This window comes from Homo sapiens, chromosome 5, assembly GCF_000001405.40.
Source record: "Homo sapiens chromosome 5, GRCh38.p14 Primary Assembly".
Lineage (NCBI taxonomy): Eukaryota > Metazoa > Chordata > Mammalia > Primates > Hominidae > Homo > Homo sapiens.
In genome coordinates, this window is record NC_000005.10 from 74979705 (window position 1) to 75001495 (window position 21791).

Here is a 21791-nt window from a genome sequence, read left to right on the forward strand (position 1 = left end):
TGCACTCCAGCCTGGGTGACAGAGCAAGACTCCATCTCAAAAAAAAAGAAAGAAGGAAGAAGGAAGGAAGGAAGGCAAGAAGGCAGGAAGGAGATATAAATTGCCAATGTCAGAAATTATACAGGTGATATCATTTCTACGTGATTCTACATGTAGATTCTACAAATTTTAAAAGGATATGGATTCTACAAATATTAAAAGGATAATGGAATATTATGAATAATTGTATGCCAATAAAATTGATAGCTGAGATGAAATGGAAAAAAATACCTTGAATTATACAAATTGCCAAAGTTTACTCAGAAAGACACAGACAACCTGAATAGCCTTATATTGATTGACGAAATTGAATTTGTCATTAAATGTGTTCCAATAAATAAAACTCAAGGTCCAGATGGCTTCACTCATAAAATCTACCAAACATTTAAGGAAGAAATAATACTAATACTATAGAATCTCTTCCTAAGAAATTGAAAATGAGGAAAATACTTCCCAGCTCATTCTACAAGGCCACTATTACTCATACGAAAATTAAACCAAAATATTATAAGAAACCTATAGCCTAATGTCCCATATTAATATAGATGCAAAAATTCTGAACAGATAATAGGAATACAAAGTTGGTTTAACATTGAAAAATCTATCAATGTATTTCTCCACATAAAGTAAAAACCAACTCCATATGATCATCTCAATAGATGCAGAAAAAGCACTCAACAAATTCAGCATTAATCCTGATCCTAACTCTTAGCAAACTGGAAATAGGAAGACTCTTCCATAACCTGATAAAAGGCGTTTACTAAAATGTAGTTTACAACATACCTTATGATGAAAGACTGAATGCTTTCCTTCTAAGTTCAGGAACAAGACAAGGATGACTGCTCAACACTTCTACTCAATATTGTCCTTGAGGTGCTAGTTAGGGCAATCAGGGAAGAAAAAGAAATACGAAGCATCCAGATTGGCAAGAAAGAAAGATAATTGTCTATTCATAGACAGCATAAACTGCAGAAAATCCAGTGGAATCTCCAAAAAAAGCTATTATAATGAATAAGTTAGTTTGGCAATGTTGTAGGATGTTTGTACAACATTAAAAAATCAATTGTATTCCTATTCACTAGCACAGAACTATCAGGTATTGACATTAAAAAATACAAATTACAATAGCATAAAATACCTGAAATACCTAAGTATAAATCTAACAAAAAAACTTTAATGTCTGTATATTGTAAACATTATTGCAAGAAAATTTAAAAACATAAATGAACAGGTAAAATGTTTTCATGAATCTAAAAACTTAATATTGTTACAATGTCATTCCTCCCCAGTCTATAGATTTGATACAATCCAAACCAAAATCCCAAGAGGCTTTTTTTTTTGTGGAAATTGACAAGTTAATTTAAAAATTCATATTGTAACGCGAAGGACCAAGAATAGCTAGCCATCTTTAGGAAAAAAATAATGTAGGACTTACATTACTGGATTTCAAGACTTATGATAAAGCTACAATAACCAAGACAGGATAATACTGACAAAGCTAGACAAATAAATAGAACAGAGAGACCAGAAATAAACTCACACATATATTGACAACTGATCTTTCATAAAATTGCAAAAGCAAGTCAGTGGAGGAAGATAGTTTTCTAAACAAACTAGATGCTAGAATGATAGATTGAATATCCATGTAGAAAAAAAAAAGTGAAGTCTGGTCCATACCTCACACCATCTACGAAATTTAATTCAAAATGGATCATAGATATAAATGTAAAATCTAAAACTACAAAATTCTAGAACATATAGAAAACATTTGTAACTCTGGGTCACAAAGATTTCTTAGATATATCTCTAAAAGCATGATGCATAAAAGAAATAATTGATACACTGAATTTTATCGAAATTAAAAACTGTGTTTTTGAAAGACACAGTCAAGAGAATGAATAGATAAGCCTCATACTGGGAGATAATATTTGCAAGTCATACATCTGGTAAAAATAATATATAACTCTGAAAACCTGATAACAGGAAAACAAACAACTCAATAAAGAAGTGGGGAAAATTTTGGACAGTCATCTTACCAAGAAAATGTATTGAAAATAAGCACATAAAGAGAATCTCAACAGCATTAAGGAAATGCAAATTAAAAGCACAATGCGCTGGGCACAGTGGCTTATGCCTTGTAATCCCAGCACTTTGGGAGGCAGAGGTGGGCGGATCACATGAGGTTGGCAGTTCAAGGCCAGCCTGGTCAACATGGTGAAACCCCGTCTCTACTAAAAATACAAAACGTAGCCAGGAATGATGGTGTATGCCTGTAGTCCCAGCTACTTGGGAGGCTGAGGCAGGAGAATCTCTTGAACCCAGCAGTCGGAGGTTGCAGTGAGCAGAGATCACACCACTGCACTCCAGCATGGGCGACAGAGCAAGACTCTGTCTCAAAACAACCCAAAACCAAAACCAAAACAACAACAACAACAAAAACAAAAACAAAAATCCATGATGAGATACACTATACAACTTTTAGAATGGCTAAAAGCTTTCTTTTTTAACCACCATACCAAGTGCTGGCAAGGAGGTACAAGAACTGGAACTCTCATACACTGCTGGTAGGGAAGTAACGTGGTAGAACCACACTGAAAACATTTGGGGTTTTATTAAAACAAATTCAATATTTATTTACCATACGACCCAGCCATCCTACTCCTAGATATTTACCCAAGAGGAAAGAAAATGTAGTTCATACATACCATTTTTTTGTCGTTGTTTATTTGGAGACAGAGTCTCGCTTTGTCACCCAGGCTGGAATGACTGGCAGGATCTCGGCTCACTGCAACCTCCACCTCCCAGGTTCAAGCTGTTCTCCTGCCTCAGCCTCCTGAGTAGCTAGGACTACAGTTGCCTGCAACCATGCCCAGCTAATAATTGTATTTTTTAGCAGAGATGGGGTTTCGTCATGTTGGCCAGGTTGGTCTCAAACTCCTGATCTCAAGTGATCCACCCAGCTTGGCCTCCCAAAGAGCTGAGATTATAGGCATGAACCACTGTGCACGGCCATACATAGACTTTTACACAAATGTTCTTAGTAGCTTTATTTGTAATAATCAAAAACTGGAAACAACCTAAATGCCCTTCAATAAGTGGGCAACATTTATGGATAAACAAAACATAATATATCCATAAATGAAATACTCTTTAGTAATAAAAAGAAAGAAACTATAGATACACACTACAACATGGATCAATCTAAAAATAATTATGCTGAGTGAAAGAAGCCAGACAGAAAAGAGTACATACTACTCTATAGAAAATTCTAGAAAATTCGAATCAGGCTACAGTGACAGAAAGCAGGTCCATGGTCACCTGAGGAGTACAGGAAGAGACAGGAGGGAGAGATTATAAAGGGGAACCAAGAAACTTTTGGGGGTGATAGACATGTTCACTATCTTGATGGTTGGGTTGGTTTCATGGGCATATACAAATGTCAAATTATCAAATTGCACCCTTTATGTGGCATTTATTCCATATCAAGTATACCTCTTTAAAGCTATTTTTAAAAGAAGGAAAAAAAAAAAGATTGCTATCCCTGACATTGTTGAGCCACTTAACCAATGGACTGCCTATCTCTAAATCTTTTGATTATGAAAAAAAAAAAAAAAAATGAAGCCATAGTAAGTCAGTTTTCCTGTTACTTGCAGCTGGAAGCATAACTTACCACTGCAACTACACAACACCTTGGCTTATATAATAAAAGTCACAGAATATTCAAGCTTGAAGAGATCTTGGGGATCAGCCATTCAAAGCCTATCCTGCCTGCCCCACTCCACTGCCATCCCCCCCAACTTTTCTTTACAGATAAGGAAACAGAAATTCAGAAGCTTGGAGGGACTTGCCCAGACTGACACAGCAGATCTATTAGGAGCTGCAGGATGAGAGCCGCAGTGTCCCGGTGTCCTGACTCCAAAAGCTGGGCTCTTTCCAGTGCACCATATCGCAGTCTGCCTTTTCAATTTTTAATTTCTAAATTTTATTTCCTTAAAACAGCAAAGAGAAAAAAATACAGGGTGGAATTTAATGCTCACAAGTAGAATTACCTAGAGGAATCATTGTATGTTTTATAAATGAGGCAACAGAGCTTTGGGGTGCAGATGAGAAAGGGATATTTTCTCTTAGTCACAAAGCCAACATTAAACACAGGCCTCTTGAGACACTACTTGCCCTAATGATTCTCAAATATATGACTTATTTCTAGTAGTCAACACCTGCCTTCGTGAAATAAACACTCCTCTATGTGTGTGTGCCTGGAATAGCAATCCTGATGTTTCTAAGGGTATTCACATTTTAAAAGTGAAGTGTAAAAATTCAGTCATTTTGTGTTGGTTGACATTTTTTAAATGGCATGTCTTTTTTTATAACTGAAAACTAAATTTGGTTTAGGTTAGGCTTACACATGAAGAGCTGAAAGGTTGTTTTATTCCTTAAATGTTCCCATCTTTGAGCAGAGGCCAAACAATGAAAATTCTAGCTGGGATAGAATAAGAACGTTATTATCACCAAGTCATGGGTAACTGAAATTTTCCTGGTTCCACATGCTATTAATATCCTACGTGTCAAACAAAAGTTAGGAACTGCTAAAGAAAAGATTATTCAATCCTTCTTATTAAAGCACAGTAAGGAAGACTTTATTGAGGCCCTCGCTATAGGTACAGTGACAACTGCAATGAGGTTTTGGAGTGGGGGAGGAAGATTGAGTTCAACTGTGAATACTGCATGAGCAAGTGGAAATTTATAGCCAAGGAGGAGGGTGGGGACCAGTGGATGGAAAACTACTAAGAGGGAACATCAGGGGTAAGGGGGATTCTGACTAGACAGGCCTAACAGGATTCTTGCTGAAGACAGGCCAGGGTGATCAGACCTCACCTGGGGGATGGTGGAGGACGAGGAACCTCATTAGATATCAACGGGGATCAGATATCAAGGGTGGATGTTTGGGGGGGATTCTTGTGAAACTGACTTAGCTGGGCTCTTTGCTAAAACTGGATTTCCCAAGGAAGTGCGCTGATAGGTTCTAAAAGGTTTAGGAGCCTAAAATTTGGCCAAGCAAAGAATCTTTGTCAGAACACAGCATCGACCTAAAGAAAGAAACTGAGGAAAATTAATATAGGTAGAGAGTTTATTTGGGCCAACGGTGGGGACTGCCAACTGAGAAACTCTTCCAAGTTGCTTTGGGGAGTGCTCCAGAGAACAAAGGGCAGGCATGAGTTTTTAAAGAAAAAAGGACAAATCAGGAGAGGAGGTGATTACAAACGTTGTTTTTCAGAATTTTCATTGGTTCCCAGAAATAACATTCATCAGTATTGGCTATATACGTTGTTAAACTATGGGGTATGAGTTATGGCGTTCAGAGTGTGGCATTGCTAGGTGGCAACACTCAGTTTAGAGTCCATACAGCAGGCAGTTTCAAGAGATGATTATTCAGCTCAAGGTGGGGAAGTGCGGCAAGACTGATGCCTCATTCCTATGCTTTGCTGGGCCTGGTAATTTTAAAGGGACTGCATCACTCAGGTGTTTCTTGTCTTTCTCAGTCTCTCACCTGTGTGGTTATTTTACTTTGCTTTCCTAGAGCACAGCACCAATACACATACCTTATACAACCTTACACACATACCTTGCTATCCTTCCTTTATAAGAAAGGTGACTCCAAATCTGAGCTCACAGGGGATGTTGGAAAGTCAAAGTGACTTGGGGAAAAGTTATTGAAATGACTACATTTTTGACAAATATGAACAAACGATAAGGAAAGATGAAAGGAATTGAAATCACTCAGCCTCAGACAAGTTAAGAAGATATTCAGTCTCCACCTGATATTATTTTCAAGGCTTCCTGACCAAATTCTGCTGAAATTGTTCACGACATTAATTACATGGTAAGAAAGACGCTGATATTTGCCTCTCTGAAATCCATTCCAGCTTCTTCTTCACCAAGCAGAAACACAGTTTTGTTTAGGAGTGGCACAACCTGACAAAAATCCTCTCCCTGGCCAAACTCTAGCCAGGCCCCTCTGAGCCCTCTTCTTGGTTAGGCCTCAACCTTGGCCTATAAGAATGACAGACTCTTGGCACAAATGATTTCCACCCTTTACCCTCCGTATATATGCATATATATATATTTGAGACAGGGTCTCACTCTGTCATCTAGGCTGGAACACAGATGCTCAATCTTGGCTCACTGCAACCTCTGCTTCCCAGGCTCAAGTGATCCTCCAGCCTCAGCCTCCCGAGAAGCTGGGAATACAGGCATAAGCCACCAACACCCAGATAATTTTTATATTTTTTTGAGAGACAGGGTTTCGCCATGTTGCCTGGTTGGTCTCAAACTCCTGAGCTCAAAGCAATCTGTCCACCTCAGCCTCCCAAAGTGCTGGGATTACAGGTGTGAGCCACTGCACCTGGATAACCCTCCATATATATATATATGGTTTTTTTGTTTTTTTTTTTTAGACAGAGTTTCGCTCTGCCGCCCAGGCTGGAGAGCAGTGGTGCAATTTCGGCTCAATGCAAGCTCCGCCTCCTGGGTTCATGCCATTCTCCCGCCTCAGACTTCCAAGTAGCTGGGACTACAGGCGCCCACCACCATGCCCGGCTAATTTTGTTTTTGTATTTTTAGTAGAGACAGGGTTTCACTGTGTTAGCGGGATAGTCTGGCTCCTGGATCACGATGGTCTTGTGATTTGCCCGCCTTGGCCTCTCAAAGTGCTGGGATTACAGGCATGAGCCACTGCGCCCGGCCCATGTATTTTTAAAAAATCTTTGACTGCAAGGATTTTACTATGTATTTTTATGTTTAATTCATAGTAGGTGCATATACTTATGCACTTACTATGGTACATAGTAGGTATGTATATTATGGGGTACATGAGATATTTTGATACAGGCATACAATGCGTAATAATCCCATTATGGAGAATGGAGCATACCCTCCATATTAAGAGACTTGACCAGACACTAGGGTCGTTTCCAGTGTCGTTAAAGTGCCCCTTTAAAGTACCTGCCTGAGAAAAGCAAAGGCTTCGAGGAGAATTCACTATTTGTTTTTAGCCAACCCCTGAGGATAAGCCCCACCACTTTCAGAGCATTTACTATAAAGGGCTTACAATTGAGGATCCTCTTGCTGCCCCTTTGAGATATCTAGGTATCACCTACAACTCAGGGGTATCTTACTCAAGCATGTGAAGGTAATTCCTTTACAATGATAATCATCAGGAAGGAAGGGGCCTCTGTCTCCCAGCCTATGTGGAATCCTAACTTCAATAAATGCCAGCTGGCAGATGCAGCTGCCTCATGGGCATTTACACTGACCAACCCTTGTAATTTTTCACCCTAACTCTACTGAGCCCCACTCAACCCCTCCCTGCTGCCTCACTCTCCCTTTATTTTTTATCGAGACAGGGTCTCGTTTTGTTGCCCACAGCCATGTGCCACCACACCTGGCTATTTTTTTTTTTTTTTTTTTTTTGTGACAAGGTCTCAACTCCTCCTGCCTCCACCTCCCAAAGTGCTGGGATTACAGGTGTGAGCCACAGCACCAGGACCATTCTCCCTTTAAAATACCCACTCACTTCTGTGCAAATCAGAGTTGAGTTCAGTTCACACTGGACCCTCTTCCCTACTACAATTGTGTATTATGGGCTAAAAGCCGTCCTTACCACTTTAGTGTCCAGCTGTATTTACCTTGGATGGTGCTGAGTAAAATTATTCCCCCACCCCATTCCCTGCAGCAAAGGGTGGCCAGGGGACACTCACCTGACCACTGAGACATACGCTGAGTTTCTGGGAAGACATTTTTCTCTTGCCCTCCTGCACTCCTCCCTCACACCTTCTTTTCTGATGGCACAGGGACAGGAAGCCTGGAGACGCAGCAGCCACCTGGAAATATGAGGTCACAAGCATGAGGAAGACACAGCAGGTAGCAGACTGCCTCCTGAAATTCTACTAAGATGTTTCTCAGGCATTTCAGTCACGACATGCCCAAAAAGGAACTCTAGGTCTTTCCATTTCTACCTTTGGAATTTCCAATTTTGATAAATATCATTGCCACCCATGTGTTGCTATTGTCAGAAGCTTGGCGGATGTCATTGACCGACCCTTCTCCTCGCAGACTCCTTGCATTCATTTTTTAAAAAATTGTGGCACAATACATAAACAATTTACCATTTCAACCATCTAATTTTTTTTTTTTTTTGAGACAGAGTCTTGCTCTGTCGCTCAGGCTGGAGTGCAGTGGCACAATCTCAGCTCACTGCAGCCTCTGCCTCCCAGGTTCAAGCCATTCTCCTGCCTCAGCCTCCCAATCTCTTTAATTTTTATTTTGTTTTTTTTTTTTTTTTGTAGAGATGGGATTACAGGCATGAGCTGCCACACTTGGCCATTTTAACCATTTTAAAGTATACAGTTCAGTGGGGTTTGACACATTCACAATGTTGTGCAAACATCACCATAATCTAGTTCTAGAATCTTTTCATCACCCCAAAAGAAAGTCCCATATTCATTAAGCAGCACTTCCTATTCCTCCCTTCCTCCAGCTCCAGGCACTAATTTGCTTTGTGTTTCTGTGGATTTGCCTATTCTGGATATTTCATAAAAATGAAACCATATAATATGTGGCGTCTGTGTCTGACTTCTTTCATTCAGGATAATGTTTGCAAGGTTCATCCATGTTGTAGCATGTATCAGTACTATTCCTTTTTGTGGCCAAATAATATTCCATTGTATGGATATACCACATTTTGCTTATGCATTCATCAGTTGAGGGACATTTGGGTTGTTTCTATCTTTTAGCTATTGTGAATAATGCTGCTATGAGCATTTGTGTTTAAGTTTTTGTTTGACCATCTCCTTTAAATTTTCAGGGTTACATACTTGAGAGGAATTGCTGGATCATATGGTAATCTGTGTTTAACTTACTGAAGAACAATAAACAATTTTCCACAGCAGCTACCTGATTTTACATTTCCACCAGCAAAATATGAGGGTTCCAATTTTTCTGCATCCTCACTACACTTATTATTTTCTGGTATTGTTTTTAATTATAGTCACCCTAGTGGGCATGAAGTGGTATCTCACTGTGGTTCTAAGTTATATTTCCCTACTGACTCATGATGTTGAGCATCTTATCATGTGCTTTGTTGGCCATCGTATACATTTCTTCTTTGGAGAAAAGTCTATTCAAGTCCTTTGTCCATTTTTATTTATTTATTTATTTTTTGAGACACAGCCTTGCTCTGTCACCCAGGCTGGAGTGTAGTGCTGTGATCATAGCTCACTGCAGCCTCAACCTCCTGGGCTCGAGCGATCCTCCTGCCTCAGTCTCCCAAGTAGGTAGGGCTACAAGTGAATGCCACCATGCCCAGCTAATTTTTAAATTTTTTGTAGAGACAGTGTCTAACTCTGTTGCCTAGGCCTGTCTTGAACTCCTGGCCTCAATAATCCTCCTGCCTCAGCCTCCCAAAATGCTGGGATTGCAGGTATGAGCCACCACACCCAGCTGCACATTTTATTTATTTTTTTTTAAATGGCATCTCACTCTGTCACCCAGGCTGGAGTGCAGTGGCATGATCTTGGCTCACTGCAACCTCCACCTCCTGGGTTCAAGCAATTCTCCTGCCTCAGCCTCCCAAGTAGCTGTGATTACAGGCGTGTGCCACCATGCCTGGCTAATTTTTGTATTTTTAGTAGAGATGGGGTTTTACCATGTTGGCCAGGCTGGTCTTGAACTCCTGACCTCAAGTGATCCAACCACCTCAGCCTCCCAAGGCTGAGGATTACAGGTGTGAGCCACTGCATCCAGACTCCACCTGCACATTTAAAATGGAATTGTTTGGGTTTTAGTTGTAAGCATCCTTTATATATTCTGGATACTAGACCCTTATCAGATGTGTGATTTGGTGAATATTTTCTCCATTCTGTGAATTGTCTTTTCAGTCTCTTGGTAGTATCCTTTGATGCTACAGGGGCCAAAGGAAAACTTCCCCTTTGCCCTCTGAAGTTCTGCTGAAAAATCACCTGAAAAAAGGCAGATTAATAGGGGAAAATGATATGCAAACTTACTAGCCTGTGTGGGAAAAAAACCATAGAATGATTGCTCAACCCCACAATGGGGCACAGATAGTTACATTCCCTTCTTAGTGGGGGAAGGGAGACAAAGCATTGTGGATAATTTTAGCAGGGATAGTAAATGATTTTTAGGGGAATTCAGGGGGCTTGAAGAACAAAGTCTGTTTGAAGGACAAAGTCTGTTGAACCCACAGAGCCGACGATGGTTCTTGACAAAAGTCTGTCCAGGTGTGTTAACAGATTTCAGTCTTTCTGCAATATGAGTTCAGTTAATGAAAACCCAAGGAAGGGACCAGAGGTAATTGCTTTCTTTTTTTTTTTTTTTTTTTAAAAAAAAAAAAAGTAGTTAGCATTTAATGAACCTCCCTCCATGTGGCTTCAAGCCACCAGGACGCAGATCCCCTGCGACTCCCTTCATCTTCTCCTCAGCTCTTCTGCTGAAGAATTTGGCCTTCATGATGACAGGTTGCTTTGGGAGCTTTCCCTTTCCCAGAACTTTGTAGTAGCCCAATAGCGCCACATCAATGATGGGAGCAGCCCCAGTCTTGTTTTCAGCAGCATTTGCCCATGTCTGCTCGCTGACCAAAGTCCACAGTTTGTCAAGGTTGACAGTTGGGCAGAAGCTCTGGTTCCTCTTTAAGTGGTAATGCGTCCTACCAACTTTCCCAAAGTAGCCTGGGTGGTATTTGTTGAAGCTGGTCCTGTGGTGATGTGTGCCACCAGCATTACCGTGGCCTCCAGGGTGCTTCTGGTGCTTCCCTTATAGGGTCATGGCTGTGGATCACGTGGCCCTGAAGTTTCCGGGTCTTCCTCAGTCTGGATGGCACGTTGGTGGCCCGGACGAAAGGGCAATTGCTTTCTTCTTTGGTGAGTCCAGACTTTAGGCAGATTTGAGAACTTAGAGAACTTCATCCTGAGCTTAGGGAGAGATAAAAGATTGAGAGGTAAGAGGCAGGGGGAGGGTCAGAGAGACCTTGAGGCTTCTTGCTCAGTTCAGCATGTCAAAGCGCCATACTTTGGGGTATCGGTTTCTGAACCCCAACAATGTATAAAAGTTTTTCACTTTGTTGAAGTCCAATTCATCCACTTTTTCTTCTGATGCTTGTGCTCTATGTGTCTTACATCCATTCTTGAGTGTTTTATTCCATGCACAGAGCATAAGGATATTTCAAATACCTCAATCTGATCATGACTCCCTTGCTTAACACCTTCAATAGTTTCCCATTGTATTTAAGATAAAGTTCAAAATCCTCTCTATGGACTACAAGGCTATGCATGATTTGGTCCCTGTCCTTCTTTTGGCCTCATTTTTCCATATTTTTCCTCGCCTTCTTTGCCATCGGTTTCTCAAGTATAACAGGCTCTCTTAAATCCCAAGACCTCACTTGCCATGGTTCCTGCCTGGAATGGTCATCCTCCCCTCTTCTGTACTTTGCTAATTCTAATTCATTCGTCATTTTAAGTGTCACTTCCACGGGAAAGCCTTCCTTAACCCTCTGCTCCAAACTTATTCCCAGCTTGCGAAAGGTAGAATTTTGCAAGCCGATTGTTAAACACCGCCATTATTATAAATTAAGTGGTATACATTTACAATTAAGTTATAATAAAAACAAATGCGAGAAACACTTAAAACTTTTCATGTTCTAATTATTTTATTATATTCTACATTTGTGCTCCTGAGGTCACAATAGAAATAGAACGGAATGTGTGGTGGAAATAGAACAGAGTGGCCTGCTACTGTGTGTGCATCTTGTGCTAGCTAACCCTGCTGTGGTGGCAGGAGAGCTTGACATCAGCCATGGTGGGAGTATTTGAGCAAAGACTACAAATCAGGCTGGTTTAGTGAGGCTTTCTGGAAAGCAGGGGTTAACATTCACACTGCCAGTCAGATTTCCCATTACATGCTGACATGGCATCTTGAACTTGTCTACTGTGGTCCTTTCCGTGGATGGAATCTTTCAATTTATTATTTGAAATAGTATATTTAATGTCTGTGTTTCTTACAAGAACGTGAACTCTGGGAGGGAATGGGGTGCACACTGTTCCCTATTGATATCTGTATCCCCAGCACCTAGCACAGTTCTTGGCACTGGATAAATACTTAATTATTTGTTGACAGAAGGTCAATAAGGCCCAAGAAGCAAAGTCCAATGTTTTAAATATAGATGGGTCGATGGCAGGCATTCATCTTGGAAAGTATAAAGTTTTCCATTTCACTCATTGGCTATCTTGAGGGTTTAAATATTGATGATCATTTGATTATATTCAAAGCTTACCAGGTTTAAACATTTCTTTGATGCCTTTTTAATTAGATGATAGCTAGTGATGGCCAAAGGCAACTTGACCTTAGCTATGTATTAGTTTCTCATGGCTGCCATAATAAAGTAAGCCACCCAAACTGGATAGTTGAAGACAACAGGGACACTTTCTGTCACAGCTCTGGAGGCTAAAAGTCTCGAAAATCAAGGTGTTCACACAGCCATGCTCCCTCCGAGACTCTGGATAGACTCCTCCCCTGCCTCTTCCTAGCTTCTGGTGGTGGCGAGCAGTCCTTGGTATTCCTTGGCTTGCAGCCACATCACTCCAGTCTCCACTTCCATCTTCACAGAGTCTCCTCTTGTATTTTCTCAACATCTTCTTATAAAGACACCAGTCATATTGGATTAAAGGTCCACACTACTCCAGCAGGACCTCATCATAATTAATTACATCTAATTAGCCTATTTCCAAATAAGGTCACAGGCTGAGGTACTGGGGGTTAGGATTTCAAGATTGCTTTTTTGGGGGACATAATTCAACATAACACCCTGCAAGTGGCCTGTTTCATACAGTGCATGCCTGGTGTATTACAACCAACTGGACCAGGCAGGTTCCAGCTCATCTATACAGCTTCATGTGATTTGTCTATAAGGCTGTTTATTTCCTCTAGCTCCAGACTTTGCCTTGGTTATGAGTGGGGAGTATCTCAGAACCCCCAGATGACCTCAAGCCCAAATATAATAATTATATTTGTTTTGTTTGAAATAAAACAACCCACAAACCATAACTGACAGGGATTGGAACCTGGCATAAAAGCACAAAGACATACTTTTAGCCCCAGGCTGGGTTACCTGAGAAGAGGGAGCAATATTCGGGCCAATTCTATATAAGCATTGAAATGCCGGAAGTGATCACTGCCCTCAGGTACTTCCAGTGAAAGAGGTGGTGAAGGTAGAGCGAGGTCCAGCCCTTCTGAGTCATTTCTCCATAAAAGCAGATTATGTCTCTACATCCTTCTGGGGACATTTATTTTCAGTAAGAATTCGTATAGACAGTGTTTGTCAAGCTAGAAAGATCCAGAGAAGTTAGCCAAATCACCCCTTTATTCTACAAAACCCAGAAGGCCAGAGAGGGGGCCTGTCTTGCCCAGGGTCATCAGGTTAGAGAGTGACAATGCCCAGGCTAGAATCCAGGTGGTCTCCATCCGGGGTAGGTGCTTAATCCACTGCTTTGCTGTAGCTTTGCGGTGTGAAGACCATGGCTGCAATGGCCAGCATCTTTTCCCTTGCTTCAAATGTAAGGTTAAAAACCCAAGGGAAGAGTATGGAGAGTAAACCAGTACAGACACGCTTCTGATATCCAGGAAACGACATGTCTACTATGACTTCCTAATGAGAAGACAGAAAGTTACATATTCTTTTTTTTTCTGGTCAATACAACACAGTAGGATTGCTACCACTAGAAGCATTATGGGAGAACAAAACACACGAGTATTAATGAGGCAGGTTTAACTCTTACTAACAAAATACTACCATCTTTGCAATCAGTTCTAAAAGTACTAGATTTGGAGTTCTGCAATCCAATTTCATTTTATTTAGGACTTAAGATTGTGAAATAGGAGCAGGAAAACCATTATCATCTGCTGTGATCATACTCTTATATCCCAGAGACCAACACAGCTCTCATTCTGCATTCCTGCGAAGGTAACTGAGTTAAAAGTGATTACCATTGTTAAAGTAAATTTGGCCTGAGAAAAGCCACCATACTGGCATACTTGAGTCCTTACATAATAACTGCAACCAAACTTAGTATGTAAATAAACTGAAAACCCAGCTTAGGAGTATGCTTTTCTAACAGATAGCTGAGTCTCAGCCAATCACAGCAGCCATGCTTCAGTCAGTAGCAGGCAGCCACCTGCTCATGTTCAAATAAGGCAAGCACTGGACTGTAACCCGTCCAGTTGTTTCTGTACCTCGCTTCCATTTTCTGTACATTGCATTTCTGTTTCTGTTCATAAGTATTATTCGACCAGAGTATTAAACTCCATGGGAGCCCCAGTTTCTCTGTACCTGTTTTGGTGCTGAGAACTGCCTGATTCATTTTTTGCCCAATTAAACTCTACTAAATGTAATTTGTCAAATGTTTCTCTTTTAACATCATTATTAAGTACTCTGATTTTTTAAAAAGGCTCTGGAAAATTTCTGGTTAAATGTGGTAGATTAGACACTTACTTTTATCTCCACTGTCTCATGAAATCCCACTAAAGTGATAGTAAAGGGGGAAAGAAGGCAAACCACAAGTTCTAAGGGATTGGAAATGGAGACGACTGAGAAAAAAAATCAACCGAAAAAAATATTGGGAGCTGGAAAGAGAAGAACGTGCATTGACTGGTTTATCAAACCAAGGGAAACAGAACCCCAAGCCTGCAGTAGAAGAAGGCAGCAAGAAGGTAACTCACTCTGCCGAACATGGCAGAACCTGGGACTCGGAAAGCAGGGGTGCAGAGAAGGGCTGCAAACAAGGCAGCTTAAATAAATGGGAGCAGCAAGGCTCCCAGATTCCCTTCTTGACCTACACCGCAGATGATGCCCTTTCTCCAATCCTGGCAGGAGACTGGAGGTTTATTCTGTGGAGAAACCAAATCAGAGAAGACTTGGGAATCCAAGCCAGGCCTGAGACACCCTATTGAAATTAGGTGAAAGTCTACATACCAAATGAAGAGATTTCATTCTTCTTCTCCTACTGCACCCTCGCAACACCAGCAGCCAGGCATATAAAAATCCATGCAGGAGATGAGGGGATTTGACTCTGGAGCCTCTGACTAGCCCAAGTTAGATCCTGACAAGTGGGTAGTTGGGTGAGGGGTGGTCTTCCACTGTGAAGAGATTGGGCCTTGCCTGATCTCTCAACGGTGGTTCTCAAACTCAGCTGCACATTAGAATCACCTGGAAAGCTTTAACATGTGCTAATGCCTGGAGATTCTGACTTAATTAGTCAAAAGTACACAGCCCCAGCGTCAGGAGTTTTAAATGTTCCCCAGGTGATTCTAATGTACAAGTAAGCCTGAGAAACTCTACTTTAATAAAACCTATCCCTCAACAGCTTCTTGTAAGTGCCTCTTTCCTGATCTTTACAAAGAACCAACTTTTAGTTTGATTGATTTTCCCTATTCTTTGTCCATTTTCTATTCCATTGATTTCTGATCTTATTTCCTTTTTTCTGCTTACTTTGGGTTTAATTTGCCCTTCTTTTTCTAGTTTCTTAAGGTGGAAACTTAGAACACTAATTTTTGACCCTTTTTGTTTTCTAAAAGCAGCACTTAATGCTAAAAATTATCTTAAATCACTGCTATAGCTGCATCCCACAAATGCTGTTACGTGGGGCTTTCACTCTTGTTCTGTTCAAAGTATTTCCTAATTTCTCTTGTGATTTTCTTCCTTGGCTTATGGGTTATTTAGAAGTATGATTGTTTAATTTCCAAGTATTTGGGGTTTTTCCAGATATCTTTCTGTTACTGGTTTTAAGTTTAATTGTGTTGTGGTCAGATAATATGCTTTGTATAATTTTGATCTTTTTTATGTATTAAGACTTGTTTTATGGCTCAGAATATGTTCTACCTTGGTGAATGTTTTATGTTCACTTAAAAAGAATGTGTATTCTGTTGCTGGGTGGAATGTTCTATAGTTGTTAATTAGTCAAATCAGTTGAGAGTGTTATACAAATTGCCTATATCCTGACTTATTTTTTTGAATCTTATTATTGTCATAAATTTTACTTTACAGGTATTTTAAACCCTGCAATACATCTTTTTAAAATTTAAATAATTATATTCAAAATAAAATTTAAAATAAGAAAAAATGTCTTCTATAATTACCTACATATTTATAATTTTCAGCATTCTTCATTCCTCCTCAGCCTCCCAAAGTTCTGGGATTACAGACATGAGCCACCACGCTTGGCCAGCATTCTTCATCATTAAGTGTAAATCCAAATTTCCATTTGGTATCAATTTGCTTCCTCTTGAAGACCTTCCTTTAACATTGTTTTGTATTGTAGGCCTGCTGGCAATGAATTCTTTCTGCTTTTGGTTGTTTGAAAAAGCTATACAAGCAGCCAACAAACATATGAAAACATGATCATCATCACTAATCATCAGAGAAATGAAAATCAAAACCACAATGAGATACCATCTCACACCAGTCAGAATGGCCATTATTAAAAAATCAGAAAATAACAGATGCTGGCAAGGCTGTGGAGAAAAGGGAACACTCACACACTGTTGGTGGGAATGTAAATTAGTGCAGCCACCGCGGAAAGCAGTTTGGAGATTTCTCAAAGGACTCAGAACTACCATTTGACCCAGCAATCTCATTACTGAGTATATGCCCAAAGGAAAAGAAATCATTCTACAAAAAAAACACATGCATGCTATTCACAATAGCAAAGACATGGAACCAACCTAGGTGCCCATCAACAGTAGAATGGATAAAGAAAACGAGGTGCATAAACACCAGGGAATACTACACAGTCACAAAAAAGAACAAAACTATGTCCTTTGCAGCAACATGGATGCAGCTGGAGGCGATTAACCTAAGTGAATTAACACAGGGACAGAAAACCAAATATTGCATGTTCTCACTTATAACTGGGAGCTTAACATTGAGTACACATGGACATAAAAATGGAAACAATAGATGCTGGGGACTACTAGAGCGAGGAGGGAGAGGGATGTGGACTGAAGAACTACCTGTTGGGTACTATGGCTACTATCTGGGTTATTTTGAAGGTATCACTTCAGTTTCTTATGAATTGTATAGTTTCTACTGAGGTCTACTTAGTTTTGTTTGTTTGTTTGTTTTCCTGAGACAGAGTCTTACTTTGTCACCCAGGCTGGAGTGCAGTGGCGTGATCTTGGCTCACTGCAACCTCTGCCTCCCGGGTTCAAGCAATTGTCTGGCCTCAGCCTCCTTAGTAGCTGGGATTACAGGTGTGTGCCACCACAACCGGCTAATTTTTTTTTTTTTTTTTTTTGTATTTTTAGTAGAGACAGGGTTTCACCATGTTGACCAGGCTGGTCTTGAACTGGCTGCTCTTGAACTCCTGACCTCGTGATCTAACCACCTTGGCCTCCCAAAGTACTGGGATTACAGGTGTGAGTCACCGTGCCCAACCGAGGTCTACTTTAATTTTTGTCTTCAGTTTCTAAATGTAAATTTCCCGCATCTGGCTGCTTTTGTGATTTTCTCTTTATTATTGATTTTTGGCCATTTGTGATTTTCTTAATGTTTCTTCTACTTGCAATTGAGATTTTTGGATCTGTGTATTCATAGTTTGAATCAAATTGGGGACTTTAAAAAAAGCCATTCTTTTCTCAAATATTTTTCTGTACTCCACACACCCCGCCCTGCCATTACATGTATGTTAGAAAGCTTGCTATTTTCACACAGTTTACTGGGGCTCTATTCAATGTTTTCTGTCTTTTTGTCTCTCTGTGTTTCATTTTAGGTAGTTTCTATTGCTATATCATCAAGTTTACAGATCTTTTCTTCTGCAGTATCTAATCAGTGAATCTTATCCAGTACACTTTTCATTTCAGATACGGAACAAAATATATATGACTTGATTTTCTTAGAGCAGTTTTAGGTTTACAGCAATATTAAAAGGAAGGTACAGAGACTTTTCATATACTCCCGACCCCACACTTGCACAGCCTCTCCTATTATCAACATTCCCCACACAATGGTACATTTGTTGCAACTGATGAACCAATATTGGCATATCATAATCACCCAAAGTTCATAGTTTATCTTGGGTTCACTCTTGGAGTTGCATATTCTGTGGATTTGGACAAATGTATGATGTGTTCCACCATTATAGTATCATACAGTGTACAGTCATCTCTTGGTATACGTGGGGGATTGATTCCAGGACTGCCTGCATATAGCCAAATCCACACTTACTCCCATCCCACAGTCAGCCCTGCAGAACCCACATATATGAAAAGTTGGCAGTCCATATACTCAGGCTTTGCTTCCCTCAAATACTGTATTTTCAATCTATGCACGTTGTTGAAAAGAATATCCACGTATGTCAATCCCTCATTGTTAAAGGGCCAACTATAGTTTCACTTCCCTAAAAATCCTCTGTGCTCCACCTATTTGTCCCTTCCTCCCCACTAGCCCCTGGAAACCACTGATCTTTTTCACGTCTCCATAGTTTTGCCTTTTCCAAAATGTCATTTAGTTGGGAACACACAGTACGTAGCCTTTTCAGGTTGGCTTCTTTCACTTAGTAATATACATCTAAGATTCTTCCATGTCTTTTCATGGCTTGATAGCTCATTTCTTTTTAGCACTGAATAATACTCCATTGTCTGGATATACCACAGTTGATTCATTCACATGCTGCAGGACATCTTGGTTGCTTCCAGGTTTCAGCATTTGTGAATAAAGCTGCTATAAACATCCATGTGAAATTTTCACATGGATATACATTTTCAGCTTCTTTGGGTAGATACCAAGGAATACAATGCTGGATCATATGGTAAGAGTATTTTTAATTTTGTAGGAAACTGCCAAACTGTCTTCTACCATGGCTGTACCATGTTGCACTCCCACCAGCATTGTAGCAACGAGTAAGAGTTCCTGTTGCTCCACATCCTTGCCAGTGTATGGTGTTATCAGTGTTCTGGATTTTGGCCATTCTAATAGATATTTAGTGGTATCTCATTGTTTTAATTTGCATTTCCCCTTTGACAGATGATGTGGAGCATCTTTTTATATGCTTATTTTCCATCTACATATCTTCTTTGATGAGGTGTATGTTAAGGTCGTTGGCCCATTCTTAAAATTGGGTTGTTTGTTTTCATATTATTGAGTTATTTGTGTATTTTGGATGAGTACATTATCAGAGGTGTCTTTTGGAAAATTTTGTCCCAGTCTGTGCTTTGTTTTCTCCTTCTCTTGACATTTTCTTTCATAGAGCAGAAGTTATTAATTTTAATGAAATCCAGCTTATCAATTATTTCTTTCATGGATCATGCCATTGATGTTGCATCTAAGAAGTCACTGCCATACCCAAGGTTATCTCGATTTTCTCCTGTAAGTTTATATAGTTTTGTGTTTTATATTTAGATCTAGGATCGTTTTTAGTTAATTTTGTAAAGAATGTAAGGTTGATGTCTAGATTAATGTTTTTGCATGTGGATGTCCAGCTGTTTCCGCACCATTTGTTGAAGAGACTGTCTTTGCTCTATTCTGTTGCCTTTTCTCATTTGCCAGAGATCAGTACACTATATTTATGTGAGTCTATTTCTGAGCTCTCTATTCTGTTCCATTTGATCTACTTGTCTATCCTTCTGCCAACACCATACTAACTTTATTATAACTTCGTAGTAAGGTTCGAAGTCAGGTAGTGTCAGTCCTTCACCTTTGTTCATCTCTTTCAATATTGTGTTGGCTATTCTGGGTCTTTTGCATCTCTGTATAAACCTTAAAATGAGTTTGTTGATATCTGCAAAATAACTTGCTAGAATTTTGATTGGGATTGCATTGAACATACAGATTAAGTTGGGAAGAACTGACATCTTGACAATATTGGGTCTTCCGGTACATTAATATGGGATATCTTTTATTTAGTTGGGAAGAACTGACATCTTGACAATATTGGGTCTTCCGGTACATTAATATGGGATATCTTTTATTTAGTTCGTCTGTAAGGAATTATTATAATTTCTTCCTTAAATATTTGGTAGACATCATCAGTGAATCCATCTGAGCATAGTACTTTCCATTTTAGAAGGTTATTAATTATTGATTCAATTTCTTTAATAGATAGAGGCCTATTTATATTATCTATTTCTTATTGTGTGAGATTTGGCAGATTGTGTCTTTCAAGGAATTATTTCATTTCATCTAGGTTATCAAGTTTGTGGGCTTAGAGTTGTTCATTGTATTCCTTCATTATCCGTTTGTTTGTTCGAGACAGAGTCTCACTCTGTTGCCCAGGCTGGAGTGCAATGGCATGATCTCAGCTCACTGCAACCTCCACCTCCCAGGTTCAAGCGATCCTTATGCCACAGCCTCCTGAGTAGCTGGGATTACAGGCATGTGCTACCACGCCAGGCTAATTTTTGTATTTTTAGTAGAAACAAGGTTTCACCATGTTGGCCAGGCTGGTCTCAATCTCCTGACCTCAGGTGATCCACCCACCTTGGCCTCCCAAAGTGTTGGGATTACAGGCATGAGACACTGTGCCCAGCCTAACAAATTTAAAATAACAGAATTTACACTAATGCCTGATTTCAGATCACAATGGAATTAAACTCAAAATCAGTAACAGAAAATTAACTGGAAAATCCCAAAATACATGGAAATTAAACAACACACTTCTAAATAACACGTGTCAAAGAAAGCTCAAGAAAAATATTAAAATTTGTGAACTAAATGAAAATGAAGACACAACTTATCAGAATTTATGTGCTACAGAAAAAACAGTGCTTTGAGGGAAATGTATAGCATTGAATGCATATATTAGAAAAGAAGAAAGATCTAAAATCAGCAATTTAAGTTTCCACCTTAGGAAACTAGAAAAATTAGAGTAAATTAAATCCAAAGAAATAATAAGAATTAGAACAGAAATCAATGAAATTGAAAATAGAAAATCAATAGAGTAGATCAATTACAATAAAAGCTGGTTCTTTGTAAAGATCAATAAATTTGATAAGCCTCTAGCCAAGCTGACTAAGAAAAAGAGAGGACATGTATTACTAACATCAGAAATGAAAGAGGGAAGGGACATCACTATAGATCCCATGGACATTAAAAGGATAACGAAGGGCTGGGTGCAGTGGCTCATGCCTGTAATCCCAGCACTCCCATATATCTGTATATCTATATAACTATATGTCCTATTAATTCTGTCCCTCTAAGAGAACCCTGACTAATACAGTGACAGAGTGAGACTCCATCTCAAAAAAAATTATGAGAGTATGTTTTATGGAACAGAACATAGCCTGTCTTGGTGAATGTTCTATGTAAGCTTGAGAAGAAAGTATATCCTGCTATTGTTGGATGAAATAGTCAATTACATCTAGTTGATTGATGGCATTATAGATATCTAACAGAGTTCAACTATCTCTCCACTGATGTTTTTTTCCTTCTGGATCTGTCCATTGCTGATAGAAGGGTGCTGAAGTCTCCAACTATGATAGTAGGTCCATCAGTTTCTCCTTGCAGTTCTCAGTTTTTGCCTCATGTAGCTTGATGCTCTGTGTTAGGTTACGTGTCAAGGATTGTTATGTCTTCTTGGGGAACTAACCCCTTTATTATTTTGCCCTTCTTTATCCCCAGTAATTTTTCTTACTTTGAAGTCTGTTTTGTCTGAAATTAATATAGCTACTCTTCCTTTCTTTTGATTATTGTTAAC

The 21791-nt window shown here is 39.6% G+C and overlaps 1 pseudogene, besides 1 other annotated feature; it reads right to left on the minus strand.

Moving 5' to 3' along the window:
• Window positions 10444-10952, minus strand: RPL27AP5 (ribosomal protein L27a pseudogene 5; annotated as a pseudogene).
• Window positions 14348-14397: an enhancer, noted in NCBI's record as "active region_22677". NCBI's record gives its function as "activates an Ori minimal core promoter by ATAC-STARR-seq in GM12878 lymphoblastoid cells {active_cell/tissue: GM12878}" and the evidence as "EXISTENCE:reporter gene assay evidence [ECO:0000049][PMID:35858748]".